We start from the raw sequence: 26,780 nt of genomic DNA, 5'->3' as shown, positions 1-26,780 counted from the left end.
CACTTCTTCCATGGCCTTTAGGCCCTTTGCCTTTGGAAGCAGCTGCTAGCAAATGTGCTCAGGGCTCTTGAAGCTGTCAGTACCTACCTCCCACCACGGATTCTACCTTCCTGATTTTGCTATTTGACCTGTAGGGGTTTACTGTACTTTCTTGTGAGCTCAGCTTTTCTTTTTTTTTTTTTTTCTTTTTTTTGAGACAGAGTCTTGCTCTGTCACCCAGGCTGGAGTGGAGTGGTGTGATCTTGGCTCACTGGAAGCTCCGCCTCCTGGGTTCACACCATTCTCCTGCCTCAGCCTCCCGAGTAGCTGGGACTACAGGCGCCGGCCACCGCGCCCGGATAATTTTTTTATTTTTTGTATTTTTAGTAGAGACGGGGTTTCACCGTGGTCTCGATCTCCTGACCTCGTGATCCGCCCGCCTCGGCCTCCCAAAGTGCTGGGATTACAGACATGAGCCACTGAGCTCAGCTTTTCTTTTAGAAAATTGTTTGTTATGCTGTCCACGTGTTTAATAATAGAAATTTTTTTCAGACTATTAATAAAAGTTTATGTTCTACTGTTTAATGATATAGTTACTGCTGGTAATTGGTTTTAACTTATTTCAAACTACTCTGAAAGGAAATCACCTAAAAAGGCCTGTGGATGAATCCTATATGACAAAAATATTAAAATACTCTCACTCATGGGTAACTTCTATAGTGAGAGCTTTTACTATGAAAGCAGTATACACATATGGAAGTGTGTATACATGTGACAGCCAAAAGTGCCTTGTTAGCTAATATTCTACTGAAGTTCGGCAAGTTTGTAAGTTGTAGCCATATTGGCATTTCTGCTCTTAATGATTTACTTTACTTGCTCTATCGGTGAATAGAGGACATGGAAATTGTGTTTTAAAAAAGATTAAACACAAGCATAGTTTACACTTTTGCTAGGTTTGAAAAATTCTCTGGTGTGATAATATCCTCTATTAAGAACAGGAACTATTAGTTACTACATATGATTTAAGACAGAATGTCATCACAGGCATACTCTAATAATGTCTTGATTAATGGTGGGTTTAGCTGTAAATGAATACCTGCACATCACTTCACAGAGTTCCAATTGTCCTATTCTAAGGAGTGTGAGTTCTTACCAGGGTTCTCTGTTATACCAAAATAGGACTTATGCCATGAGTCTTTGAAATTGACCATATAGTATTTTCCTCATTGTTTTAACCAGTTCTCACACTGCTATAAATAACTATCTGATACTGGGTAATTTATAAAGAAAAGAGATTAAATTGACTCATAGTTCCACAGGCTGTACAGGAACCATGGCTGGGGAGGCCTCAGGAAACTTCGTGGCAGAAGGTGAAGGGGAATCAAACACCATCTTCATATGGTGGAAGAGAGAGAGAGAGTGAAGAAGGAGGTGCTACACACTTTTAAACAACCAGATCTCATGAGAACTCACTCACTGTCTTGAGAATAGCAAGGGGGAAATTCACCCTCATGATCCAGTCACCTCCCATGAAGTCCCTCCCCCAATTTTGGGGATTACAATTCAGCATGAGATTTGGGTGAGGACACAGCCAAACCATATCACTCATCCTTGGGCAAGGTGATGCTGCAGAACTTTTTCTCAATTTACCAATGTTCTAATAACACTTATCAGGCTGAATAAGCTTATTACCTGCACACAACTAAGGTCCTTTGAAATATCCTAAGGACTACTCCAAAGCCCAGGAGTCCTGATAGAGCATGTGCCTTCATTATTCTTGACTTTCTACCTCCTCAAGAGTATAGTGTAGTCCTAGGAGAGTAAAGGGCAAATTAAATGAAATCTGTAAAACAGTCAAGATTCTGTCTCATATTTCCTAAGTACTCAATATGATAGTGTTAATTATAAAAAGGATTCATGTTTATTTTTACCGAATCTCTTTAGACTTGAAGTTACCTTTATCATTATTTTCCCTATTTAATAAATATTTACTAAGGACAATTACTACGTACCAATTAATTATGCTACAAACCAGCTACTTGGTAGCAAGGCTAAGTCACATTCACAGTGGTCATTGTACAAGGTAGAAGGGATAATTTCTTTAATAGAAAAATAAGTAAAGTGCTAAACACTCAGCAGAGTTAGGTAGATGACTTCTGTGCCAGGGTATTGAGAAGTTGTTAGGGAAGGCTTCAAAGGGTGTGCAGGATTTTTTATTTGGCTGAGAAGTCTTTCTGAAAGTAACCTGTCAGATCAGGGATTCAGTGCATGTCACTGTGTTGGAAAGCATTATTATCACTGTTGGGTACATATTTCTGTATGTTCACGGCTAGTCTATATCTGAATTTTTCCTTTCTTCCAGTTTCAAGTAATTGGTGGTCCATACTGTGGCCAGAGTGATTTATCAAAAATATCAGTCTAACGTAAAACCCTTTCGTGGTTTCTTCACCTACACAATCATGTCCAGGAGATGGACTCCTTATACCTCTCCAGCTGAATCTCTCAAGAGTCCTGACTTCCAGCTGTTTGTGTGGCTCCCTGACTTTATCACTCATGCTGTGTTTGTCATCTGGAATATCCTTCTACCTTTCATTGCCTGAATGACTCTTATCTCAGACTCAGCATTGGAGTAATGATCTTCCAGAAACCTCTCTTGACAGCACAGATTGGGCTTGAGTCTCTACTTTTTGATTACGTTTCTCTGTACACACCACTGTCTTAACTGTTCAAGAGAGGCTTTTAGTTGGAATCTTGCTTGGTTCTCTCCAGTTAGACTTCTAGTCTGTGATGAGAATTTTAACATGCAGATGCATCAAAACTGCCAATGGTAGACAAAATATTGTATGTTCTGCTATTTCTTGCTTGGAAATTACAAGGTCAGGTTTCAGAAATTTAAAATGAATATGGGCTTTAGATGCTAGTCCTATTCTCCTTTCATTTTATGGTTGAACTTCAAACCCTGGAAATCAGGTGGTCTGTCTAGGAAGATGAGAAGACAAAGTGAATCAATTTTTTCAGATGAACCAATTCCTTTAATATCTTTTGCTTAAAAATATTTGTGGTTATCGATATCTGTAATGGGCTGACTTATGTTCCCCCCAAATCCATATGTTGAAATCCTAACCCTCATTACCTCAGAATGTGACTGTACTTGGAGAGGGCTTTTAAAGAGATAATTAAGAAAAAATGAGGTCATACAGGTTGGCCTTAATCCAATATAACTGGTGTACTTATAAGAAGAGGAGATTAGGACACAGGCATATGTAGAGGGAAAATCATATGAAGATACCAGAAGATAACCAACTGTAAGCCAAGCTGAGAAGCCCTCAGAAGAAACCAAGCCTGTTGACATATTAGTCTTGGACCTTTAGCCTCCAGAATTTTGACGAAATAAAGTTCTGTTGTTTAAACCACCCAACCAATGGTACTTTGTTATGGAAGCCCTAGTAAAGTAATATAGCATCTCAATTTTTTAATTATCATCCTTTAGAGAACAAGTATTTTAGGAAAGGAGTCAGACTCTCTCTTGTCCTCACCCAGTGTCTCTTCTGTATAGTTCTAGAAACCATCAGATTAGATAAAAATCAGTTTTGTTTAGCTGCTCCTGTGTCTTCTGTTTTTCTATTCTTTGTTACTAGTTGGGAAATAGTGCTTTTTACTGACATATGTCATCCCTTACTATAGATTTACAGGGAAGTTATTCATCTAATAGAGAATTTTACTGGAATTAAGGTCTTTTATTTTCATTTCTCGTCAGCTTGGTTGGGTTGTTTCCTTTTTAAAAGCCCTACTGACAATCTAACGAAAATGGAGAATCTGAATGGATATGAGTATGTGTACTTGAATACACACTTATGTATCTCCAGATTCATCCAAGACTTAAATATTTATCTAGAAAAGTAGTATATTATTCTTTGATTTTTTTTGAGAATAGCTAAAATAATAACTTAGTGCTCTACCCAAATTTATTATTGATTCTAAAGGTTTCTATTGTAAAACTGGGAAATAAAATAGGATTGCTAATATCATTCCATTTTTATTCACTTTTGCAGTACATCCATATAATCTGATATAATTGTATCAGATAAATAGTCTCAGTTATCAGACTATCTGATATGATCGTATCGGATAAATTGTCTCAGTTATTTCTGCAAGCCAGCAATTTTTCTCTTCATTCATAAACTGCTTTTTGGTATATAGATTTTATCATAGTTCTTAAAGTTCTTTTGGTTGGTAAAGTTATCAGCTCTTAAATAACAAACTCATCAATCATAGATTTTTTAGACTTTCATAACATAATTTAGCTCTTAAATTTACAATCTTTTTGCTAAACATAATTTAGCTTTTAAATTTATAAATCTTCTTGCTGGACAGACCATGCTGTACAGTTTCTGAATGATGTATTCCTGATAAAGGACAGAGCGGATTCTTTTAAAGAACATGACTGGCAAGTGTTAGACCTGACCAAGATGAATTCAAATTGAAATTGAAATTTGAGAAGAGAAAGAAATACTCTGATAAAACTATAAAACTAGATATTATGAAAGGCAGTGGCCAGATACAATACTTGTGGCCTCAGATATTTATCTTCTAATGCATAGAGACTGATTTTAAAGTAAACCTGAAATTTTTATTAGAAGAAGGCAAATATAGTTTCCAATTATATGAATTAGTCCTAAAACTTAGTGAGAAAGTAATCATGTCTGGAATATAACAATGCAAGAGTATATTTTACTTGATTGAATTGTATATAATGGAAGACCAAGGGTAAGTAATCTGCCAAGAATAGATCTGCTCAAAGGAAGTCTTTAAACCTAATAGTGAAAATGTTGGGCTTTTAGGTGAAGATAAATGAAAAGAGAAGTAGCAATTCTGTTCCTGTGGAAGGATTTTATAGTATGTCCAGCCAAGGAGAGGCAGGGAAACATATTAGTTCCTCTAAGAAGGAATTATGTTATTCTTGCTTTTTTATGAACCATAGAACCAGTGTCCTTTCACATAATAATTGCTCAAAAATTATTGAGTGTTTTGAATTGGGAATGAAGTGATAGGGTTTGGGCAATTATAATAACCATATCAGAGAAATACGCTTCTTAGAATTCAGAGAAAAAATTGGTTTGATTCTATGGCCAGGATGTAGTTCATGAGACTGTAAAGCTTCATTATTCTCATAATCTAATAATAATCTCCATCTGAAAGATTTAGATGGTTTATTAAGTAAATGTAGCCCTCCAGTGGTAAACCAGCTGATAAGTCCACACTGAAAAGGACTGTGTGTAATGAAAGGATGACATGGTTTGTGAGAAGTGGGAGAGTATGTTGAATAAAGCTAAAGCTATGTAAACCTCTGTGGATGGAAGAGAAGCCTACTGTCTATGGGGAGGAATCCACGAGCATCCTGCTTGTGGAAGTGCAAGGACAGAATTTATTCTGCGAATTGAAAACCACATGTGAGAGGCACAATAAATAAGGAGAACTATAAAATGTGGCACTAAGTATTTTTAGGAATAGTTCAGAAAATCCAAAAAAACCTGGAATGAACTGAAACTTATGATACATGCTGATGAGTAAAGTGACTTTGGGAATATTTGTTCAGAATAATGAGCAGTGGGCTGCAGTTTCAACCTGTTTTGCTTTCATGTCTGTGGAGAGCATAGCACAAACATGGCTTAAGTGAGTTTGGGTTGCCAGTCCAGATGTATATTCCAAGGTATGAGAGTAATGACCAAAACTGTTCTCAGTAATCTTTAGTCATGAAGAATGGGCAAAGTACCCAGAAGACATGCTCTTTCAGAGAAGACTTGTGGTTGATTATTACAAACATTACAGTTTTTTATAAATCCCTCCTACTTTTGACAGGTACATGACTGACATTTGAGGATTATTTATGCCAAATTTCCCCAAGTTTCCCTTGCTGAAATTTTGGTTGCATCCTACGCATTTTCACATGTAGTGTTTTTTTCTTAATATTGTTATACTTTTTACTTTTCTTTGATTAAATTCTTATTTTTGATGATATTTCTTCAATTAACAAGCAATTGGAATATTTCTATATAAACTTTTGTTATTAGTTCTAGTTTAATTGTTCTGTGGTAAAAATGTAGTTTGTAACATTTCTGGTTTCTATTACAATATGATATGTCTATATAAATGGTTTATTGAACTTGGAAAATGAGGTTACATTTTCAGCTTTTGGTGTTCGGAGCTTGATGTATGACAATTTAATTTTTAAAAAATCATTGTTCAAATATGCTTTTAATTTTTTTTACTTGGCTCTGTCTTAGATTAATGCATTTTTATTTTATCTATTTTTTAAATAATATAAAACATACTCTCCAACATTGTGTTTATAATTGATAGAATTTTTTAAAAACATATTTGATGGTATATGATTTCCTGTATAAACATTCATGACAGTCAGACCTTTCATCATAAAATCACCTTGTACCTAAAAGACCTCAGTTTTGAGGTTCTCCCCCCCAGTTTTATGTTTTAATATTGCTATTTCTGCTTTCTTTTTTGTTCATATCTGCTAACCGTTTAAATTTCACCTTTCGTGTCACTTTTTTTCAAGTGTGCCATCTGAAAACATCATGTCACTAGAATTCTACAAAATTATCTTATTTTCAACAGAAAAATATCTGTATAATCATTTCATATTTTAAACATAACTGTTACGCTTTGTTTTGCTTTTCTCATCTTGCTTTCTGCACTATTTAAAATATTTTTTCTTTTTTTGCATAAACTCATAGTTGTTACTATCTTCTGCAGTGATTTGAAATGTTAGGCATTCTTCTGAAAGTTTTTCAAAGACTTTCTTAAAGCATGGTAAACTATCAAATAGCTTGATAGGCTACCCTTTTCTCTAGTTCCAAGTTGCTTAAGTTGGGGTTTCCCATCTTCTGCTATGATGTTCACTTTCTGAGATGAGAAGCAGAAGTTTGGTTAACATTTGTGTGCCTTTTTGACAGTCTTTCATTTATTTGGTAGTATCTGCACTATATCTTTTAGAAATTCCCCAGGGTTTCTTACATAGGGATAAACTCCTTTCAGATTTTTAGTACTGATTCAGGTCTCTCTCATTTCTCCCGTCTTTCATATTTCTTTTATCGTTTTAGCAGTGACATAGGAGAGGGGAGGTAGCAGTTTGTATAGAAGCTTCTATCTTGACAGAAATTTGGTATGCCATATCTTAAGAGGTACTATGATAAATCAGAGGAGCTTGACTTACATGGACAGAAAATGAGTCAAATGATGCACAATTGAAGAAATAGAAATATTTATGTCTTGAGAAGATAAAACATAAGTGGGGGGTGATGGCTCCCTTCACATACCTAAAGGAATACCATGTGGCACAAGAAACAAACTGACGCCGTGTTGCCTCACAGGCTAGTATTAGAACCAGGGCGGGCAAATTAAACCTGTTCAAGCTGCTAAGAGAAGGATACTTTCTTAAAGGTGGGGTTGAACAATTTAATTTCTCAAGTTATTTCCAACCCTATTCTTTTGTTAATGTAAATAAGGTTGACATTTTTGAAATGTGGGATACAAAAGAGTTTTCTTTTCCAAATTTAGTATATGTAAAAATTAAATGGAAAACTTGGTAAAATGCATGTATCTATCTGAGCTTGGAAATTTTGATTTATTTAAGTTTGTGCAGCACATTTTTTATTGATAGTAACCAGGGCTTTAAAATATCATAAATATTATTATAACATAATGCATTAGTTTGAATAAACAGTAAATGCAATTACTTTATAACATTTGTGACTATAATTTAGAGTTTTGTAAATAAATGGAAAATGGCACCTAAGTGAATGAAGGAAATGACTGAAATCAACAATTCTACATAAAACTATATCAATTTGGGTCCTTGGGGAAGCAGACACCAGGATGTAATTGGAAGTGAAAGATAAAGGGGAGAGGGAGCAGAGGAAGGAAAAGGAAATCTTCAGTTTGAGATGAGATTTGACACCTCATCAGTTGAGAGAGGGAAGGAAAGAAGATGGGGTATGGAAAGTCTTAGCTCTAAGGAAGGCTAAGCCAGCCCAACAATTGACTCTGATATGATTGACTACAAAAATGTCCACTGTTGGGCACATATAGTCAGGCTCTGACTCCCACATGGTGCTTGGTCATTGATGAGAGCTTTGTAGGCAGAGTGTGACCTCAGCTTCAACAAGGCAGCAGATCTGAAATGCTGTAGTTGGAACTGTCAATTACCTTTACCCGTTGTGACAAGTACTCTCTTGAAGGGAGATGTGAACAGTGCACGCTCATGGCTGCCACAAAGTGCAAGTCATATTTTTGTCAATGCTAGGCAGTATGAATGCTCACTTGGAGTTATAATTTGACATCAACTGTACTGTTTCCCTTTGGCTTCTGTTTCTTTGGCTCTACTTTTATTAAGTCTCTCTGCTTCCATTTCGTCACTTTTTTCATGCATCAGGTGTACAATAGAAATGATTCTATCTGTGTATACTTTTGTTTAAATTGATGTAAAAATAAAATACTCCTCATCAGGATGTGATCATTCAAGATGGGATTTTTAAAAACTCAAGAGTCTATTGTGTTATTCCTCTAGTCTGGCGGCAAGAAGAACTTACACGTATTAACCAATCTTTTACTGGAGCTGAAAGGAAAGCTGCTCTGTGTGAACTTCTGGAAAAAGAGACTCAGATAATTGCTTCCATTGGGAGACATAGATACATTGCTTATATGGCAAATCAGGAAGCAGCAATACAAGCTTTTTTGGATAAGGTTAGTGAAGTGACTACTATTTAAATATGAATGTATTCTGAGTTAAAAAATGTAGAATAATGTACCAGACAAGAGACTTAGATTGCAAGAACTTACATGAATTTTGTTTAGGATTTTGATGACATATTTCTTAAAATTTGATTTATTTTTTTCTGGTATAGCTTTAGATTTTAATAGCAGCCTAGAGTAAAAATTGTTAGGTAATATGAAATCCATACATTCTTAATTAAGGGGATTGGCCATGAAGGAAAAGATGGAGACACATTTCTTGTGACTCTGTTCATTTAGATTTAGATTGGCTATATAAATTAGATAAGTTGTATACTGTGATAAAATGCAGAGTATCAAAGTCAGGAAACATCTAGGTCTGGGGTGCTCTGATGGTAAGCAACCTGGGAGAAATAGCTATAGACTAGTATTTTTGCTTTGGCTCACCACATCATTAACTGACTTCAAATTTCTGACCTAAAGAATATATGATTATTGAAAACCATGAAAACATATAATTAAGGAAAAAAACTAAAGTAATTACCACTTTTGTGGTCAAACTGCCTGTTTGATATTGAATAGTCTGTTTCCATAGTGACCAATTTTCTTTTATAAACCTAGTCTTTCCAAACAATTTAAAGTCAATTCAGCTACGAAGAAAAGGGGTGCATTTCTCTAAGATGTTAGCCTGTAGTGCTTCTATTTCTATGGTTCTTATTATTTGAGGACATTTGTTCTTAAAAACCATATTTTTGATATTCTAAATGCCCTCCTCTCATCTTCTTCACTCCTTTATTTGATCTCAGTTTATCTGTGGCTTTAACTACTACCTGCATCCCAGAACTCCCTATAGTTCCATGCCAGATCCCTTTAAGGAGCTTCTACATCATATATCCAATGGCCTACTGTCACTGCTCTTTGGATTTCCCAAGATTACACTTCAAGGAGACATGATGAACCCTAAGTCCTATCACCTTACCATCCCTTGCCCCCTCACCTGTAAACTGATCTTGTTCTGTAGCATATAACCTATCTGTATGAAATTTCATCATCTACTCGGTTGCTCCAGACAGAAACCTGGGTATTATTTTTGACTTCTCCATCTAGCCACCAACCTGTTTATTCTATTGTTTAATACCTCCTCAAATCTTTTTTTAAATCCTTGGTCAATTATTTAATAGTGATTTTGAGCACTTACTAAGTCCTCTGCTTTAGCATACATTGTTTCTTTTTTTTATTACACTTTAAGTTCTAGGGTACATGTGCAGAACATGCAGGTTTATTACATAGGTATATATGTGCCATGTTGGTTTGCTGCACCCATTAACTCATCATCTACATTAGGTATTTCTCCTAATGCTATCCCTCCCCTGCTTCCCACCCCATGACAGGCCCCCATGTGTGATGTTCCCCACCCTGGGTCCAAGTGTTCTCATTGTTCACTTCCCACCTATAAGTGAGAACATGTGGTGTTTGGTTTTTTGTCCTTGTGGTAGTTTGCTCAGAATAATGGTTTCCAGCTTCATCCCTGCAAAGGATGTGAACTCATCCTTTTTTATGGCTGCATAGTATTCCATGTTGTATATGTGCCACATTTTCTTAATTGATGGACATTTGGGTTGGTTCCAAGTTTTTGCTATTGTGAAGAGTGCCGCAATAAACATACATGTGCATGTGTCTTTATAGTAGCATGGTTTATAATCCTTTGAGTATATACCCACTAATGGGATCACTAAGTCAAATGGTACTTCTAGTTCTAGATCCTTGAGGAGTCGCCACACTGTCTTCCACAATGGTTGAACTAGTTTACACTCCCACCAACAGTGTAAAGCGTTCCTATTTCTCCACATCCTCTCCAGCATCTGTTGTTTCCTGATATTTTAATGATCGCCATTCTAACTGGGTGAGATGGTATCTCATTGTGGTTTTGATTTGCATTTCTCTGGTGACCAGTGATGATGAGCATTTTTTCATGTGTCTGTTGGCTGCATAAATGTCTTCTTTTGAGAAATGTCTCTTCATATCCTATGCCCACTTTTTGATGGGGTTGTTTGTTTTTTTCTTGTAAATTTGTTTAAGTTCTGTGTAGATTCTGGATATTAGCCCTTTGTCAGATGGGTAGATTGCAAAAATTTTCTCCCATTCTGTAGGTTGCCTGTTCACACTGATGGTAGTTTCTTTTGCTGTGCAGAAGCTCTTTAGTTTAATTAGATCCCATTTGTCTATTTTGACTTTTATTGCCATTGCTTTTGGTGTTTTAGACATGAAGTCCTTGCCCATGCCTATGTCCTGAATGGTATTGCCTAGGTTTTCTCCTAGGGTTTTTATGGTTTTAGGTCTAACGTTTAAGTCTTTAATCCATCTTGAATTAATTTTTGTATAAGGTGTGTAAGGAAGGGATCCAGTTTCAGCTTTCTCCATATGGCTAGCCAGTTTTCCCAGCACCATTTATTAAATAGGGAATCCTTTCCCCATTTCTTGTTTTTGTCAGGTTTGTCAAAGATCAGATAGTTGTGGATGTGTCGTGTTATTTCTGAGGCCTCTGTTTTGTTCCATTGGTCTATCTCTCTGTTTTGATACCAGTACCATGCTGTTTTGGTTACTGTAGCCTTGTAGTATAGTTTGAAGTCAGGTAGCATAATGCCTCCAGCTTTGTTCTCTTTGCTTAGGATTGTCTTGGTAATGCGGGCTCTCTTTTGCTTCCACATGAACTTTAAAGTAGTTTTTTTCCAATTCTGTGAAGAAAGTCATTGGTAGCTTGATGGGGATGGCATTGAATCGATAAATTACCTTGGGTAGTATGGCCATTTTCATGATATTGATTCTTCCTATCCATGAGCATGGCATGTTCTTCCATTTGTTTGTGTCCTCTTTTATTTCATTGAGCAGTGGTTTGTAGTTCTCCTTGAAGAGGTCCTTTACATCCCTTGTAAGTTGGATTCCTAATACCTCCTTAATTCTTTACTTCTTCCTTTCCAAACCCACTACCATTGCCTGTAGGGAAAAAGCTCTGCCCTGGTGTCCTGATGACTCTGCATATATCAAATAGGCCTTCCTATCTCCCCTGGGAGGATGTCATGAGACAGGTCTTGCCTTATCTTGTATGCATGAGCTCGACCCTGACATAATTGAATCTGGATTTTCTTCTCATCTGGATTTCTTTATGTTTCCAAATTGAGCTGCTGCCTCCAGTTTCACGTCTCAATTCTCTCCTCCATTATCTATATCACTGCCAAAGTGGCCTCACTAAACACAACTCTGACCCTGTCCTTCCTCACTGCCCTTAGGGAACAAGGATTTTCATGTTTGCAAACCTCACTTATCTCACTGTTGTATCACTGCCATCTCTCCCTGAATACTATACCCACACTGCTTCAGCCATGCTTGATTACTTGCATATCCCAGAAAGACCAGGTGCTCTCGATCCTTTTGCATTGGGTGCCTTTACATGGAACATCCTTTCCTTCCTTCCTCAGTAGCTAGCTATTGACCCTGAAACAAGCTCAGATGCCTCTTCTTCCAGAAAGCAAATGCTGGTCCACCTACTCTAGCCTGTAGTATATGCTCTCATGAGACTGTCTCATCTCTGTCTTTGTACATAGTATGCAATCTTTATTGTACCTACATGCCTGAATTCTTTCCAGATTTTGAACCTTTAAAGGAAAGAGTTGTCATTTATCTCTGTATCCTCATATCTTAGCACAGTTCTTACCACAGTGTCAATAAATGTTTGTGGAAGAAGGTAGGGAGGAAGAATAAGGGACAGAAATAGTGGTTGTATAATTTTGTATTCCAAGTATCATCAAGAAATTATGTAATGTAGATACTGTCATTTTAAATGCTTAAATATATTAATTCTAGGAAAGATGAATTTACTGTAGGAAAGCTATAATATTCATACTTCTCTGGAGTCATCTTTTGAAATAAACCTATTTGTTTAGCAAATTGCTTTACCTTGCATCCTGCTTCATCACTGGGATACTTAATTGTTAACCTCACCAGAGAAGAGAGTATGGGCCCAGGGCAACACAAATATTCAAAGGAGCTGGAAGCCTCTGAGTGTCCATGGACAGGGAAGATGGGTGTCACCTTTCTTTATTTGATGCTGAGCCTTCTGTAGAATTTTCCCACTAGTGCCATCATACTGTTTTCTATTTCCTGCAAACTATTTAAAATTCTATTGTTGTATATACTTACACAATATCTATTCTTCTTTATGCCCAGAACATTCCCTACCCCAGTCCCCATGTCTAGCATTGTCTGTAAACATTTAACTAAACTTCTTGAAATTATGGAGTATCCATAAATGGATCAAGGCCCAACATATGAAAGTGATTCCAGAGTCAGTTGATGACCACTACCCTTTCTCATGAGGTGTGGCACTCTAAGATGGTCTTCATGTAAATCTCACCAAAAAAAAAAAAAAAAAAAAAGTGAAATGGAGAAATTTTAAAATTCTGTTTACCAGAATTCCTAGGAGGAAGGAAGATCTATTTTTTTGTGTTTGTTTTTTTGTAAATACTTTGATAAGCTGTTGGGGTGGAATTTGAGACTCTGAAGGATCCTGAGTACAGAAAGAATTGTTCTGTTCCAGGAAAATGGAAGTTTTCAAGAGTTGTTCTAGAGGGAACTAGATAAGGTAAAGTGAGGAGAGAATTGGAAGGCAGTGGGTGTACAGTGTGACTTTTTGTGACTTCTTTAGTTATGTGACTAAATAAAGGAAATATTAAACGCAACATAATTTTATTTTTGGAAAGGGAGAGGAAACCAGATAAATAAGCTGGGCTCCATGTCCAGATGGATACAGGGTAACACACAAAGGTGAAAGGCAGAGAATTGAGGGAAGGATGAAGTTAGCCACAAGAATTTGTAGAAATCAAGGCAGAGGTGTTTTGTGGGTCACATGTTTTAGAATTGGAGTTCTAAACCCACAGTTACCCCAGCTGATAAACCAGTTAATCTCATCAATCTCCAGGCTAAATTTTAAAGGAAATTGACATTTTAGTTGATACAATGGGACTTTCCTTCAGTTTTGACTAAAGACTTGTATTAGGACAGGAAGAACACACCACAATATGGATCAGCTACACTTGACGATAACTCCCAGTCAGTGCACATAGCCTAATTAGTCCAGTGTTTAAAAATGTTGACTAACAGTGACTTCTGGCCTGCTTTTAGCCTGCTATAGTGAATTAAAAACTCACTGTTACTCTAATTCAGAATCATTTAAATCACCTTTTTGTATATGATTCTATACTAAGAAGACGATTAAGATAAATTTTAGTCTTTTGATGTGAATACTTATAAAATGTCTGTTTTTCTCTATGCTTGTCAACCTCCCCCACCCCCAAGCCTAGTATTATCTCTAATATTCAGGAGGAGTCAGTGTTGATTTCATAAAACTTGAATGAAGTAACTTATTATTCTAAAGTTTTTGATTTTTAAGAAAAGATAGCTTATAATTAATCCCTGCAAGTAGACAAGGTCAGAGTTTTTTCAGATGTCAAAATTAACAAACAACCAGTGCCATATGTGAATTTGAAGATCTTCATTTAACACCACAATATACAGATACATCCAGAGAAACATTTACTTTCCTTTAATTTGGAAATAACTTTGGAGAATACAATTTTATATTTTAGTTTCAGTTTCACTTTTTTGAGTCCAAATACTGTGTGGTTTATTGAAACAATATTTTATTTTTAATCCTTTTTTCCTGAACATAGAATGTCTCTGAATAATGAATTATACAGTCTTAAATTTGTCCAGTCAAAGCATTGAACTAATAGATTATAATAGGCTCTATACTAAGTCCTCATTCTTAATAAAAGGCTAACTCTAAAGATTTTTAAAGCATTAAATAATTAGTAATTTTAAGTCACCAAATATTGACTTCCACAGAGTATCAAATATTAAAAACTTGGCTGGGCATGGTGGCTCACGCCTGTAATCCCAGCACTTTGGGAGGCCAACGCAGGTGGATCGCGAGGTCAGGAGTTTGAGACCAGCCTGACCAACATGGTAAAACCATGTCTCTACTAAAAATACAAAAAAAAAAAAAAAATTAGCCGGGCATTGTGGCGGGTGCCTGTAATCCCAGCTACTCGGGAGGCTGAGGCAGGAGAATCACTTGAACCCGGGAGGTGGAAGCTGCAGTGAGCCGAGATTGCACCATTGCACTCCAGCCTGGGCAACAGAGTGAGACTCCATCAGAAAAACAAAAAACAAAAAACAAAAAAACAAAAGAACTCACAAAGCTTGACAGAGGTGAAGAAATTCAGGTCAAGAAGTTTGAATCAAAAATCATCAGCTGGTTTCTAATATATCTTTGGGTTTATTTACCCAAACTCTGTAGAGACCATTTGAATTTCTGTAAGATGTTTTTCCTTGAGTCAAGGCCATTTATTTATTTGATGCCTGTTGATTTGTACACTATTCACAATTGCAGGCTTAAAGAACTGCAATCCATGTTAGCTGTGTCTTTTAAATGCTTTTTCTCCATACCCAGGTAGCTAACAGTTAATGGGGCAGGAAAGTGCCATGGCCTCTTTCTGAACTCTGCATGAAATAAGAGTGCTGCTATGGCTGAGCAAAACCCCTGTGCTGTGTAAAAGAAAGGTTGATCACTATATAGTAGCTTCTGCGGGGAGTTAGGGCTATTCTTAATTTGTGTCCTTAGGGGCTTGATAATTAATTTAAGAGGAAGAAAATATCTACTTTCCTAGTGCAGTCATTTCTTCTTTTTTGTGGAAGCCTGCTGCTCTCCAGGTTCTTGTTATTTCTCCACCTTCCTTTCCCTGAAATGTGTCTTCCTGCTGTTCTTCTGTTTCTCTCTTCCAGGGTCTGTGCTGTCTCTTTTGTTGGCAGCTAAATGGAATTTATTATGCTCCTATTTTCTGAAGCAATTTAAGTACATGATTGTTGTATATCTGTTATCACAGCCAAAGCTTTCAAAGAAAAAAGGAAATAAGGAAGAGAAATAAGCAAAGTTGACATTTTTCCTGCGTCAGAGTTAAAAACACCTTAAGCCCTGAAATCAAAAAAGCCTAGGCTTGAAGATCAAGTTATCTGTGTTGGCAGAAATACATCTAAGTATAAAAACAGCTTTGCTGAACAGATTTTTTAATATCTTTTCAGTGCCAGCTCTAGGGAACTTGAACTTCAAATCTAGGATTCTTTGATTGTATCACTCGGTTCCCTTTAATCTGGCTAACTCCTAGTTATTCTTCAGATTTCATCTTAGATACTTTCTTTTTACCAGTTAAGTGCTTCATAGCAACCCATAGTTACCTATTTATCTACAGTCATCAAGCGTACTCATCTTTTTTTCTAATTACTCATTTTCTTACCCTTCCATCCCATGAGATTTGAGAGTTCTTGAAACCAGGATAGTATTTTATCTACTCAGTGCCTAATACATTGATTAATGTATAGTAAACACAGTAAATATTTGTTGAATGAATGAAAGAGTATTGTAGACACTGTGAGATATATAGAACTACATGAGAAATTTCTTTCTCTTTCTTTCTTTATTTCTTTCCTTTTCTTTTCTTTTTTCTTTTTTTTTTTGAGTTGGGGTCTTGCACTGTTGCCCAGGCTGGAGTGCAGTGGTGCAGACTTGGTGCACTGCAACTTCCACCTCCTGGGTTGAAGCAATTCTCCTGCCTCAGCCTCACAAGTAGCTGGGATTACAGGTGAGTGCCACCGCACTCAGCTAAATTTTGTGTTTTTAGTAGAGATGAGTTATCACCGTGTTGGCCAGGCTGTTCTCGAACTTCTGACCTCAAGTAATCTGCCCGCCTTGGCCTCCCAAAGTGCTGAAATTACAGGTGTGAGCCACCGTGTCCGGCCGAGAAATTTATTTCTCATACTCTTTTGGGAGAAATGGAGTTAGCAAACATAAAACAATTATAAAGTAATTTGGATCCAAATTTCATTGCCTGTAGTCACTGAAATAGAGACATTGTATACTTGTGTGTTTTTACAAGTGCAATAGGATTTCACATACAAGTGATATAATTGTTTCAAACTATAGTAGTTAGAGGAATCTTTATGGAAGAGGTAGGGTTTGAGTTCAAAATGGAAAGGTGGAAAGGACTTAGATGAAGAATGTATTTGGAAACCAAGATCTAACCACATTATGCTATATTTGTTAGGCTAAAAACTTGGGGGGGAAAACAGAGTTAAATCAGTCTATCAACTGAAAAATACAATGTGATAGGTAAAGTAGGTGTTTCATAAAAAGGTTATTGTATTTGAATTATTACAAATGAAATAATTTACCACCATGCAGATCAAAAGGTGTTGTCCAAATTACTGGAAGAAAAGCAATTGCATTTAATACAGCAAACCTGAGGAAAATTGTATGCAAAGATTAAGACATTGGTTAGACTTTAGAATATTACAGCATGAAACTTAGCCCTAGCCTTTAAAAACTTTTTAAAAAGAGCTTTAAAATAAGCATCAAACTTCAGTAACACTCTGAGGCCTACCCAAAATAAGGCTATATGCATTTAAAAATTATTTTATTCCTAAGTGATGAGAATTGAATGATAAAATATTTTATTATTGAGCTATTTTCCTTATAAGCTTTTAATCAATCTTAATTATATCGGTCTGATAATAATACATTATTTAATATTGAATTTATGCTGTAACAATTTAAATTAATTATAGGGCTGCAGCTTCTCATTTACTGGATTGAAACTGGAGCTGAGAATCTAAAGTTTCTGATGAAGATTCCTACCTCTGAATAACATTCATTTTGGCTTTGATCTGAATATGATGCCATTACTTTGAGAATATATCAAATATAGTTGTTTTTAAGAGGTAGCTTTGCAGTTCTCAATGTGATTTAGCTAATGTGAAATATAAAAAATTAGTTGTAAATTGATGTTACAACTAAAATTCCCTCCTGATACTGTCATTGTTTTTTTCTTTTTTCTTTTTTTTTTTTGAGACAGAGTCTTGCTCTGTCACCCAGGCTGGAGTGCAGTGGCGCGATCTCGGCTCACTGCAAGCTCCGCCTCCCAGGTTCATGCCATTCTCCTGCCTCAGCCTCCCGAGTAGCTGGGACTACAGGTGTCCGTCACCACGCCCGGCTAATTTTTTGTAGTTTTAGTAGAGACGGGGTTTCACCGTGTTAGCCAGGATGGTCTCGATCTCCTGACCTCGTGATCTGCCCGCCTCGGCCTCCCAAAGTGGCTGGGATTACAGGCGTGAGCCACTGCACCCAGCCTACTGTCATTCTAAATACAGTTTTATATAATGTCTCTATTTGGTTAGTCCATATTCCTGATGATCTGTTCCAATACATAGAGCTTCCATTTAAACCTTACATTAGATCACATCTAAGATTTAAATGTTTGCAAGTATGGTGTAAATTGTATTACAAGGACACCAGAGCAATTACAGTTAACCTACAAAAACATCCAACATGTTTTTGAAGAATTGTCATGATCAACATAGTCTTGTTTCTGAAAAATTATCATTAGGGAAAGAAACTGAGCAGCTTTGTACCCTAAAGTGGAAGAGCTAATAGACAGTAAGTGTTCACTGTGAAATTTCTGGGTGAATGCATCTCCTCTAAATGTCCCTGTCAGAGGGAACAGAAGCAGTGGCAAACACAGAGGTATCATCATTAAAGATTATCCTGTTTCCTGAGTCGGTAGAGGACTAATTTCACCTCCTGTCTCTAATCTCTGAATTCTTAGCCTGGGAGTCCTCAGATGAGCTTCAGGGCAAGTGAACTTCATTTTTGGCCCTTCATTTAGGAGGTGGGCTAGGTTGGGAGGCACCAAGCCAGATTTGGAAATAGGAAGTGAGAATCTTAGCCAGCATCAGGGAGGCAGGAACCACAGCCCAGCACAGTTAAGATAGCAATATAGCTCTTTCACTATGGACATCTGCTTTGAGAAGAATTTTGAACTTCTTATAGAAGTATTTTTATAGGACATTAAACCATAACTCACAGAGTCCCTTTTTGGTATATCTTTAGGTCTAAATATATTGAGGATTGTCATAATTACTCTACAAAAGTTATATTCAATTGGCAAGGCAGGATCAAGACATATTTATATACACTCAATATAATTGAACCAAGCAAATAATTGTCCTCATGGGGTTAATGAGTAATTCCATACATCTCTCAAACAATTCAACATAAAAAACTAGTAGCAAATCCTGAATATTGTAGAAGTGTATGAACTTCTACAGACTGAATAACTGTCATTCTTATTTGTTTTTTTCTAAAATATTTTACTTTTGCCTGATCTGCAAATTCTTAAATTAATTTTCATAAGCTTTAGCAATACTTTAGTTATAAAGCACATGATATTAAGGTAGACTTTTAGTAGAAGGAGCAAAATTGTTATACGTAGTTTCTAATTAACTGATAATTATAAACATAATATTATTTTTAAGTGTTCAGCTCCAAAAATATGGAGAACCCCTAATGGCAAAACAATTGAGATGGATACGCAGTTCACCATCAGAGCCAGAGAGCTGCAAAATATCTATAAGTGCATTATGCTGAAAAATATCTCCCAAGATGAGAGGCTGGATGTGCTGTTAACTCTTAAACACACTGTAAAGGTATGTTAACTTTCTCTTAGTTTGGGGGTAGAGTTCACTGTCAATAAAAAAAAATTAATGAAATACTAAAACAAGTAAAGTGTTTTACATTAAGAATTGTTTTGGTATAATTTGGGAAGGATGTGGTTTATGCATTAATATTTACCTAAAAGTTCTCAAAATATAATACATAATAAATGTAAATATAATGAATGTAAATATATCTTTATGCAATGAATGCAAATATATGCAGTATAGCATGAGATTAGTAATTACATAAACAGCAATTATAATCTACATATTTTGACATTTTTCAGTGAAAAATTGATTTTTAGCAGTTTTAAAGCAGCACCATTGTATTTTTATCTTTTTTCTCATCAATTATTGATTTTCTGTGTTCTTAATCCTACTTTTAATGAAAACAAAGTTAGTGGATGTCACAGATCAAATTTTCCCAAGAAACAAGAAACAAACTCAGAGATGGGGTTTATATTCAGGAAGTTTGTTGGAGAGTGCTATCAGGATAATTCCTGTGAGGCAGTAGAGAAATCAGAATCGGGAGGATAGAGAAATTAAATTGTGGTGGATTCTGAACAATGACTTCAGCCAGTGTCACGGGGAATTCTAAAACTGGAAAGGCCATCCAGAGTTGTCCTGAATTTAGGCAAGGGGCCAGGACAATTTTGACCACGTATTGGATGGGCTGCCCCAGAAGGGCATAGCTTTGGATGAGATAACTTTCTTTAATAGAGAGCAATTCTCAGGAAGAGCCTCGCTTGAGAGTTGTCAGCCACCAATCTGCCAGGATGGGGAGAATACACACGCTGCTGCCTGGATCCACTTCATGTTGTAGGTTTCAGGATTAGCTCCTCTGGATTTAGATAGGCCCCAAAGCAAGGTTAAGAAAAACTGCAGCCCCTAGTGTAGTCATTGGCTTTAAGGCCACAAGAGATACTCACTGTTTCCTTCCTCTACTATCTATTTTAGATTTCCTTCTCCCTGAACTAGCATCTTGACTGGTCCAGGTGACCCACTTTTTGGAGTGACTTGCATCTTGAGAGGTCTGAACCACAGGTCACTATGCTTTTCTCAGTCTGAGGCTACCAGACTTCCATTTACTGTCAAAATCAAGCAAAGATATACCAAGAAATGCCCATTACCTGGGTGCCAAACATATTCTTCTCTGTCCCTATTGGGTAATAACTGCACCATTGCCTTTTGAAGATCAGAGTCAGTTACCTCTATAAGCAAGAAAACACTTGCCTTGCCCGCAGGTCTCTTGGCCTGCGGAGCTTAGGCATTAGTTGTAGCTCAGAGTTTAATAGGACTTGCGCTATGTCTTACATTAGAAGCATTTTTCCTCCAGGAATTAGGACCTCTAAACTTGAAGAGTCCAGAGTTACAGGGGCAGGAAGCAAACATTTCCCAAGTAGTAATTGGGGCCATTTTTACTTTCACCTCCTCTGTTCCCAGACAAGGGCAGTTCAGGGGCTTCCACTTGGTCTTCCTCATCATGATAGCTCTTACTCCACAGGTCAAGAAATCAAGGGTAGTGAGGCTGTGCCAACTATAAAGTATTCTATTCCAGTTATATATTCAAGGACCAGGGAAATAAATGCTGGGTGGCCCAGTAGATCCATTATGAGCTGGACCTGGGCCAGGACTTGATTTAATTTTTGTTTTCACATACCCCAGACTCTCACAGGATCCTGGGTCTTTATACTGCCACAACAATTAGTCATTTGATTCAGGATGTCCCTGAGAAGAAACATGACCTTAGATGAGGCAGTTTGTTTTCAGCTGATGGTAGCTGTCTATCTGTAGGCAAGATGGCTCTCTTCAGCACAGGGAATTGTCGGAGAGAAGCTCAGTGGAGAGCTATCAGCTACCACAACCTGCCGCTGAGAGTCTGCTTCAGTGCTGAAGTAGGGCTGATCTGGGCAGCACACTCAAACATTCATTACAATGAATATGTTGTCTACATTCCTAATTAAAAGGGAAACCCTACTGTTATTAGGACCATTGGTATAGCTCTTGCATTTTATAGCTCAAATTAAAGGAAATATTGAGCTTACATTATGGTCAGTGTAAATAAATTAAATAATTTATATTATTTTATTTAATTTATCCTGACCATAATGTAAGCTCAATATTTAATGTAAGCTTATATAATAAGTGGGCAATACAGGTAAAAAGTATTTGGGTTCTGAATTGTGCTTGTGAGTTCTCAAGTTAATAAGACACTTGGCAGATGTTCGTTCAGTATAGCATAGAAATATAGGTTGTTTCTGTGTGATCATCGGTATTAACTAAAGTTTATACATAAGCAATGGATTAGGTAACTGCATGGTCAGTCTATTTTGGTCATCGATATGGCCCAGATTGCCAGAACATATAGGCATAGATATTGTAATGAAAATCAGTGGTTCACTATATATAACAACTGAAAACTATCAGCCATATTTAGGTCCATCTAAGTGAGCTACATGATTACAAACCTGAGAATTTCATAAGCATAACATTTTGATACCCTGTGTAGGTTTCTTTACTCCTAACTGTAAAGAACGCTCTTTCTGTGGATGAGTTTGTGTGTCTGTCCTCCAAGGCACACAAAACTCTTAAAACACATTAAATAATTGGGTAAATGGTTCTTCCAGGGAGACAGATCTCCATAGCAGCAGAGGCATTGACTGCCTTTTCTCTGGACTACCTTTTCAAAGATGTTTGTGTAGTGACCCACCTTGAAAGACAGAGATAGGTAGGGAGGGAGAAGCAATAGGTCCAGAGGTAGGAAATAAACATGATACTTACAGAGGGCAGTAAAAAGACCAGATTGGCAAAAAGAGAGTGCATAGGGAATACAATATAAATCCTGACATAATTAGGACCAGTAATAAAAAGGCCAAAGGATGGACTCATAAAAGGCAAATTATGCATATCTTAATATGTTTAGTATGAAATATTCATATATACATTTACTTGAAAATATTTTGATGGAGGATTAAAGTCTTTAAGTACAACTCAAATTCTGACTCTATTCATTTATGGCTGCACAACCTTAAAATAAGTTAATATTTATGAAAATCAGTTTTGTCATTTGTAAAATTAGTTGCTTTGAGAATATGTGTGTATCTATCTACATGTATGTAGATATATATACACACACATATATAAACATAAAAACTTAATATAGTGCCTTACAAAGAGGAGGGCCTCAATAAATAATAGGTGTTATTTTGATGATAGTTACTAATACAGACCAGTGAATTTTAAACCTCAGTACATATTAGAATCACCTGGAGAGCCTGAGAGAGGGACAGCATGAATGAATATGAGCATAAATGAGTATAATACCTAGGCCCCACTTCAGAGCAGTTAAATTAGCTCCTCAGGTATGAGGACAATATTAAAATTTTTAAAAATCTCCCTCAGGTCCTTCTAAAGTGCCTCCAGGTCAAAGGACCACTGATGCAGACTCTCATATTAGCCTTACCAACTATGTAGTACAAAGTACGGAAGAGCATTATTTTACAATTAATGACTTTATCTTCTGACTCCTTCATTCAAGCTGTGTATCTTCCAGTTTTCCCTTGGGCAATTGGAGGACCTTATAAATATTTCTACATTAATCGCTTGTTACTTGTGGCTTTTTCATCCAACCACACTCATTTCTATTACTTTATAAAAAATATTGTGACCTATAATAAATAGACAGAAAAGTGAATAAAATATATACGTACAGTTTAACAAATATTAAACAGGAAGTTGCCAATGTTTCTGGTGTCCTCTTTTCCCTTCGAATTACAATTCCTCTTGTCATCTCTTAGAAGTAACTATCATACTGACTTTCATGGTAGTCATTTTCTTGATTTTTCTTCATAGTTTTACCACCTCTGTATAAATCTTTAAATAATATGGTTTAGTGTTGCTTATTCTTGAATTTTATTTGACAGAATTGTACTGTATCTGTTATTTTGTACCTTGAGTATTTTGCTTAAAATTAATTTGTAAGATTTAAGTTTTTGTTGTATATAGTACAATACTATATATACAACAAAACTATATATACCACAAAAAATGAACTATTAGTTTTGCCAATTTATACTCCTATTGACAATGTTTCATTTCTTTAGGAATGTAGATTTTGGTTTGTTTTGGTGGCAATTTGAAAGTGAACTTAGTGATTTGTAAAATTTTATACCATATATTTTTGTGTTTTATATAGGAACATGAATGTAAACTAACTCAGGAAATTCTAGAATTGATTGACAGAGAGGTTGACCTTATGATGAGAGGAGTCAAACATCATAACCTTGAAGGACTCAGAAAAAGAATTGCGACACTCTTTTTTCATTATATCAAAACACCTCTGTTTAATCCTGAAGTTGCAAAATACCTTAAGGTATTCTACATTTTTCTCTATATTCCTGTTTCAAAATCCTAAGATGTGGTATAGTAAATTGAAGTATATTCAAATTTTGCTTTAACACTTTACTTGGGAGTCCATGTGGAATACCATCTTATTGGTAGTATCTCCTTTGAATGATATTTTGTTATGTTGGTAAATTAAACTTACTCATTTGACTTATGTGTATTTGCAACCTTCAATTATTTCCTAATCTCTTCACCAACTTTCCAACTGAATATTGCATTACGTTGAATGTATTATGATTTCTCACGCCTCCATGGCTTTGTACATACCGTTGGTTTCCCCTGGAATGCTATTCACTATTTACCCAGCCAATTCCTGTTCATTTTCTAAGACTCAATTCTCATCTCATCTCTTCTCCTTCATGAGGCCTCACAGGGAGTTAAATTCTTTTTTTCTGAGATTCCATGTTATACCTTGTTGGTGTTCCTTATAACACTTATCACAAAGTTATAATTATTACTGAACAGGTCCATATGGATATTCTGAGAGAACTTCAAATGTAACATATTTGAATTACACTATCTTCTCCAACTCCAGCGTCGTTAGGCTTCTGTGGCTCTCTAAAGCCAAGACAAATGCTTCATTGCCTTCTTACTGTGCAGAGCTATTTAAAACACTATTAGCAAAACTCTTGGGGTAGAGTATGTTGTCAGAGAATTATAGTTTTATTTCAATGATTATATTCAGTTAAAATTTACTTAAAAAGCTGACTAAACATCTTTAGCTTTTTTGAAAAAACAAATTCTCATATTTAGTCAAAACTTCTAGAAGAATAAAAATTGTTTAATTTTTATATTTTTTAAACTGATTTTTAAAAACCTGATTGTATTGCAAAAAGAATATTAAAATATAACAAAAGTCCAAGGGAAAAAGTTCCCATTATATTATTTCTTACTCAAACCAGTGTTTCATTTGTCTGAGCCACCTTCTTTCTCTGTAGACTTATTCAGTTTATATTTGGAGTAATACAATTGATAGAGTTTCTACAATTTTACATAATGTTATATCATTTTATTTATTTTTAAAATTTGTCTTTGGTAAAATTTACTCTTTTTGGTAAGTTCTGAAAAATGTATAGAGTCATGTAACCAGTAGCACAGTCAAAATAAGAAATGGTCCTATCAGCCCCCAGAATTCTCTCATGCTGCCACTTTGTAGTCAGCTTTTTCCCTAACTTCCCAATCCTTGGCAAACACTGATATGTGTTTTATTTTTATAGTTTTATCTATTTCAGAAGGTCATATAAATGGAATCATACTATATGTAGTCTTTTGAGACTGACTTCTTTCACTTAGCATATTGCATGGATTCACCCATGTTTTTGAATGTGTCAGTGGTTTGTTTTTATAGCTGAAAAATATTCTAATATCTGGATATACAAGAGTTCTTTAAAAATCCATTCACAGTTGTAGGACATTTGGATTGTTTAGAGAGTTTTGGTCTTTTATGAATAAAATCATTACAAGCACTAGATATGAGTTTTTGGGTAAATTGATTGTTTTGGGGTAAATTCCTAGAAAGTGGCATATTGAATCACATGGTAAATGCATGTTTACTTTAAAAAGAGACAACCAAGCATTTTTTTCCAAACTGACTGCACCATGTTGCATTTCTGCCTGCAGTATATGATAAATATATTAATTAAGATAAAGTATTTAAAGTTTGTTCTTGAATCTAGGACACATCTATGGATTATCCTGTACTTCTTTTTTGGGGGGAATATACTCTTTAATATCTCAAACTACTGGCTGGATTTAAAAGTTACTGGCTTTAAAAAGGAATGGCTCATTTGCACATTTTTAGTTTGCATAGTGGGAGAAGAATTTGAAGGAACACCACTACCCCCACAACCACTTTTTGGGAGTAGGTACACTGGAGAATTTGTAGAGTTTAATTCTGTAGCTTAAATGGAGCCCTCTGTCATCATAATCATAATAAGAATGAGTTATTTTTTTCTTGCACAATTTCAGATGGGTGGAGAATATCTTTCCATGGCATTATAGTAAATGCTCCATCTATAATGGAGACGTGTGCTAACGTGTTTTCATGAGGTTGACTGATATATTTGCTAATTTAATGCCTAGGAGGCATGAAGATAAAATAATCATTCAAGATAAACAAAATGTGTAAATCTCAGAATAAGAAAAGGAACCAGATAAGTTGTCTTCTTGATCTTTGATCATACACCTAGATCACTCTTCTTTTCTCTCGAAGAATTGACTACCTTTTAAATTTACATATTTTCTTATCTCCCAAAATTACAAGACAAGGGACAATGAAGTTTTCAAAGAATATTACCCTTTGGGAAGATGGAGTGTTTAGGAAAAGTAACGCAGAGTAGAGGGGAAGGTGCAGAAAGGTAACAGATAGATATTCAGAACAAAGTAAAACATTAGAAGAGATTATAATGGTAAATATTTTAAATCCACATTGAGTAAGAGAAAAAATTTATAGAACATTGATGTCCATTTCCTTCTTTATAAAAATATTTTTTGAAAGTCTTATATATCACATGCAAACTCTGTTGCTGCTTGATCTTTACTTTCATGGAAACCAGAGGTACCATAAATTAGGAAAGACTGGCATATATATGTCTTGATTCAGTTTGTGTTGAAATGTTCACAATTCACTCATTCATTCATGGTACTTTAGCCCATAGTAAATAATTGGGTTGATTATTTTATGGTAGAATTACTTTCTGTCTATTGCTTTAGACATAGAATTTCAAACTTTGAAAATTAATCATTTGAACTAATCTAAATTTATTTTGAAGATAAATTAAACGAGAAGAACAATTGGGTTAGTGGGTTTTTACTTATATGCGAATCTAGCTATAGAAATAACTAATGTAATATAGAACTGAAAAAAATCTAAATTTTCCTAACAATAAAAAGCCTCTTCCTACTATTTTTTTCAGTCAATTAATTTTATAAGTGATTTTACCACAAATATCTAAGAACTGATGAATAACAGATTTTCAATATTTTGGCAGGATGAATAAATACTGCTTGAAATTTAGATTTTCTGTAGGATAAGAAGTTCAGGGAAA

General features: G+C 35.7%; 1 protein-coding gene across 12 annotated transcripts in view; it reads left to right on the top strand.

The window, feature by feature from the left end:
* IQUB (IQ motif and ubiquitin domain containing) overlaps window positions 1–26,780 on the top strand; it is an 82,403-nt gene that overhangs the window by 46,062 nt on the left and 9,561 nt on the right. For 10 of the 12 annotated variants that reach the window (XM_017011772.3, NM_178827.5, XM_011515834.4 and 7 more), the window contains 3 exons: window positions 8,564–8,739; window positions 19,150–19,320; window positions 23,525–23,701. In XM_017011772.3, the coding sequence (XP_016867261.1) occupies window positions 8,564–8,739; window positions 19,150–19,320; window positions 23,525–23,701 (524 nt within the window). Of the gene's footprint in view, window positions 1–8,563; window positions 8,740–19,149; window positions 19,321–23,524; window positions 23,702–25,701; window positions 25,887–26,780 lie in introns of all 12 variants that reach the window. The other 2 variants (NR_104244.2, NR_104245.2) reach the window with 2 other exon arrangements.

This window comes from Homo sapiens, chromosome 7 (assembly GCF_000001405.40).
Source record: "Homo sapiens chromosome 7, GRCh38.p14 Primary Assembly".
Lineage (NCBI taxonomy): Eukaryota > Metazoa > Chordata > Mammalia > Primates > Hominidae > Homo > Homo sapiens.
Note: the sequence above shows the minus strand (reverse complement) of the source record. Positions and strands in the feature narration are given on the sequence as shown.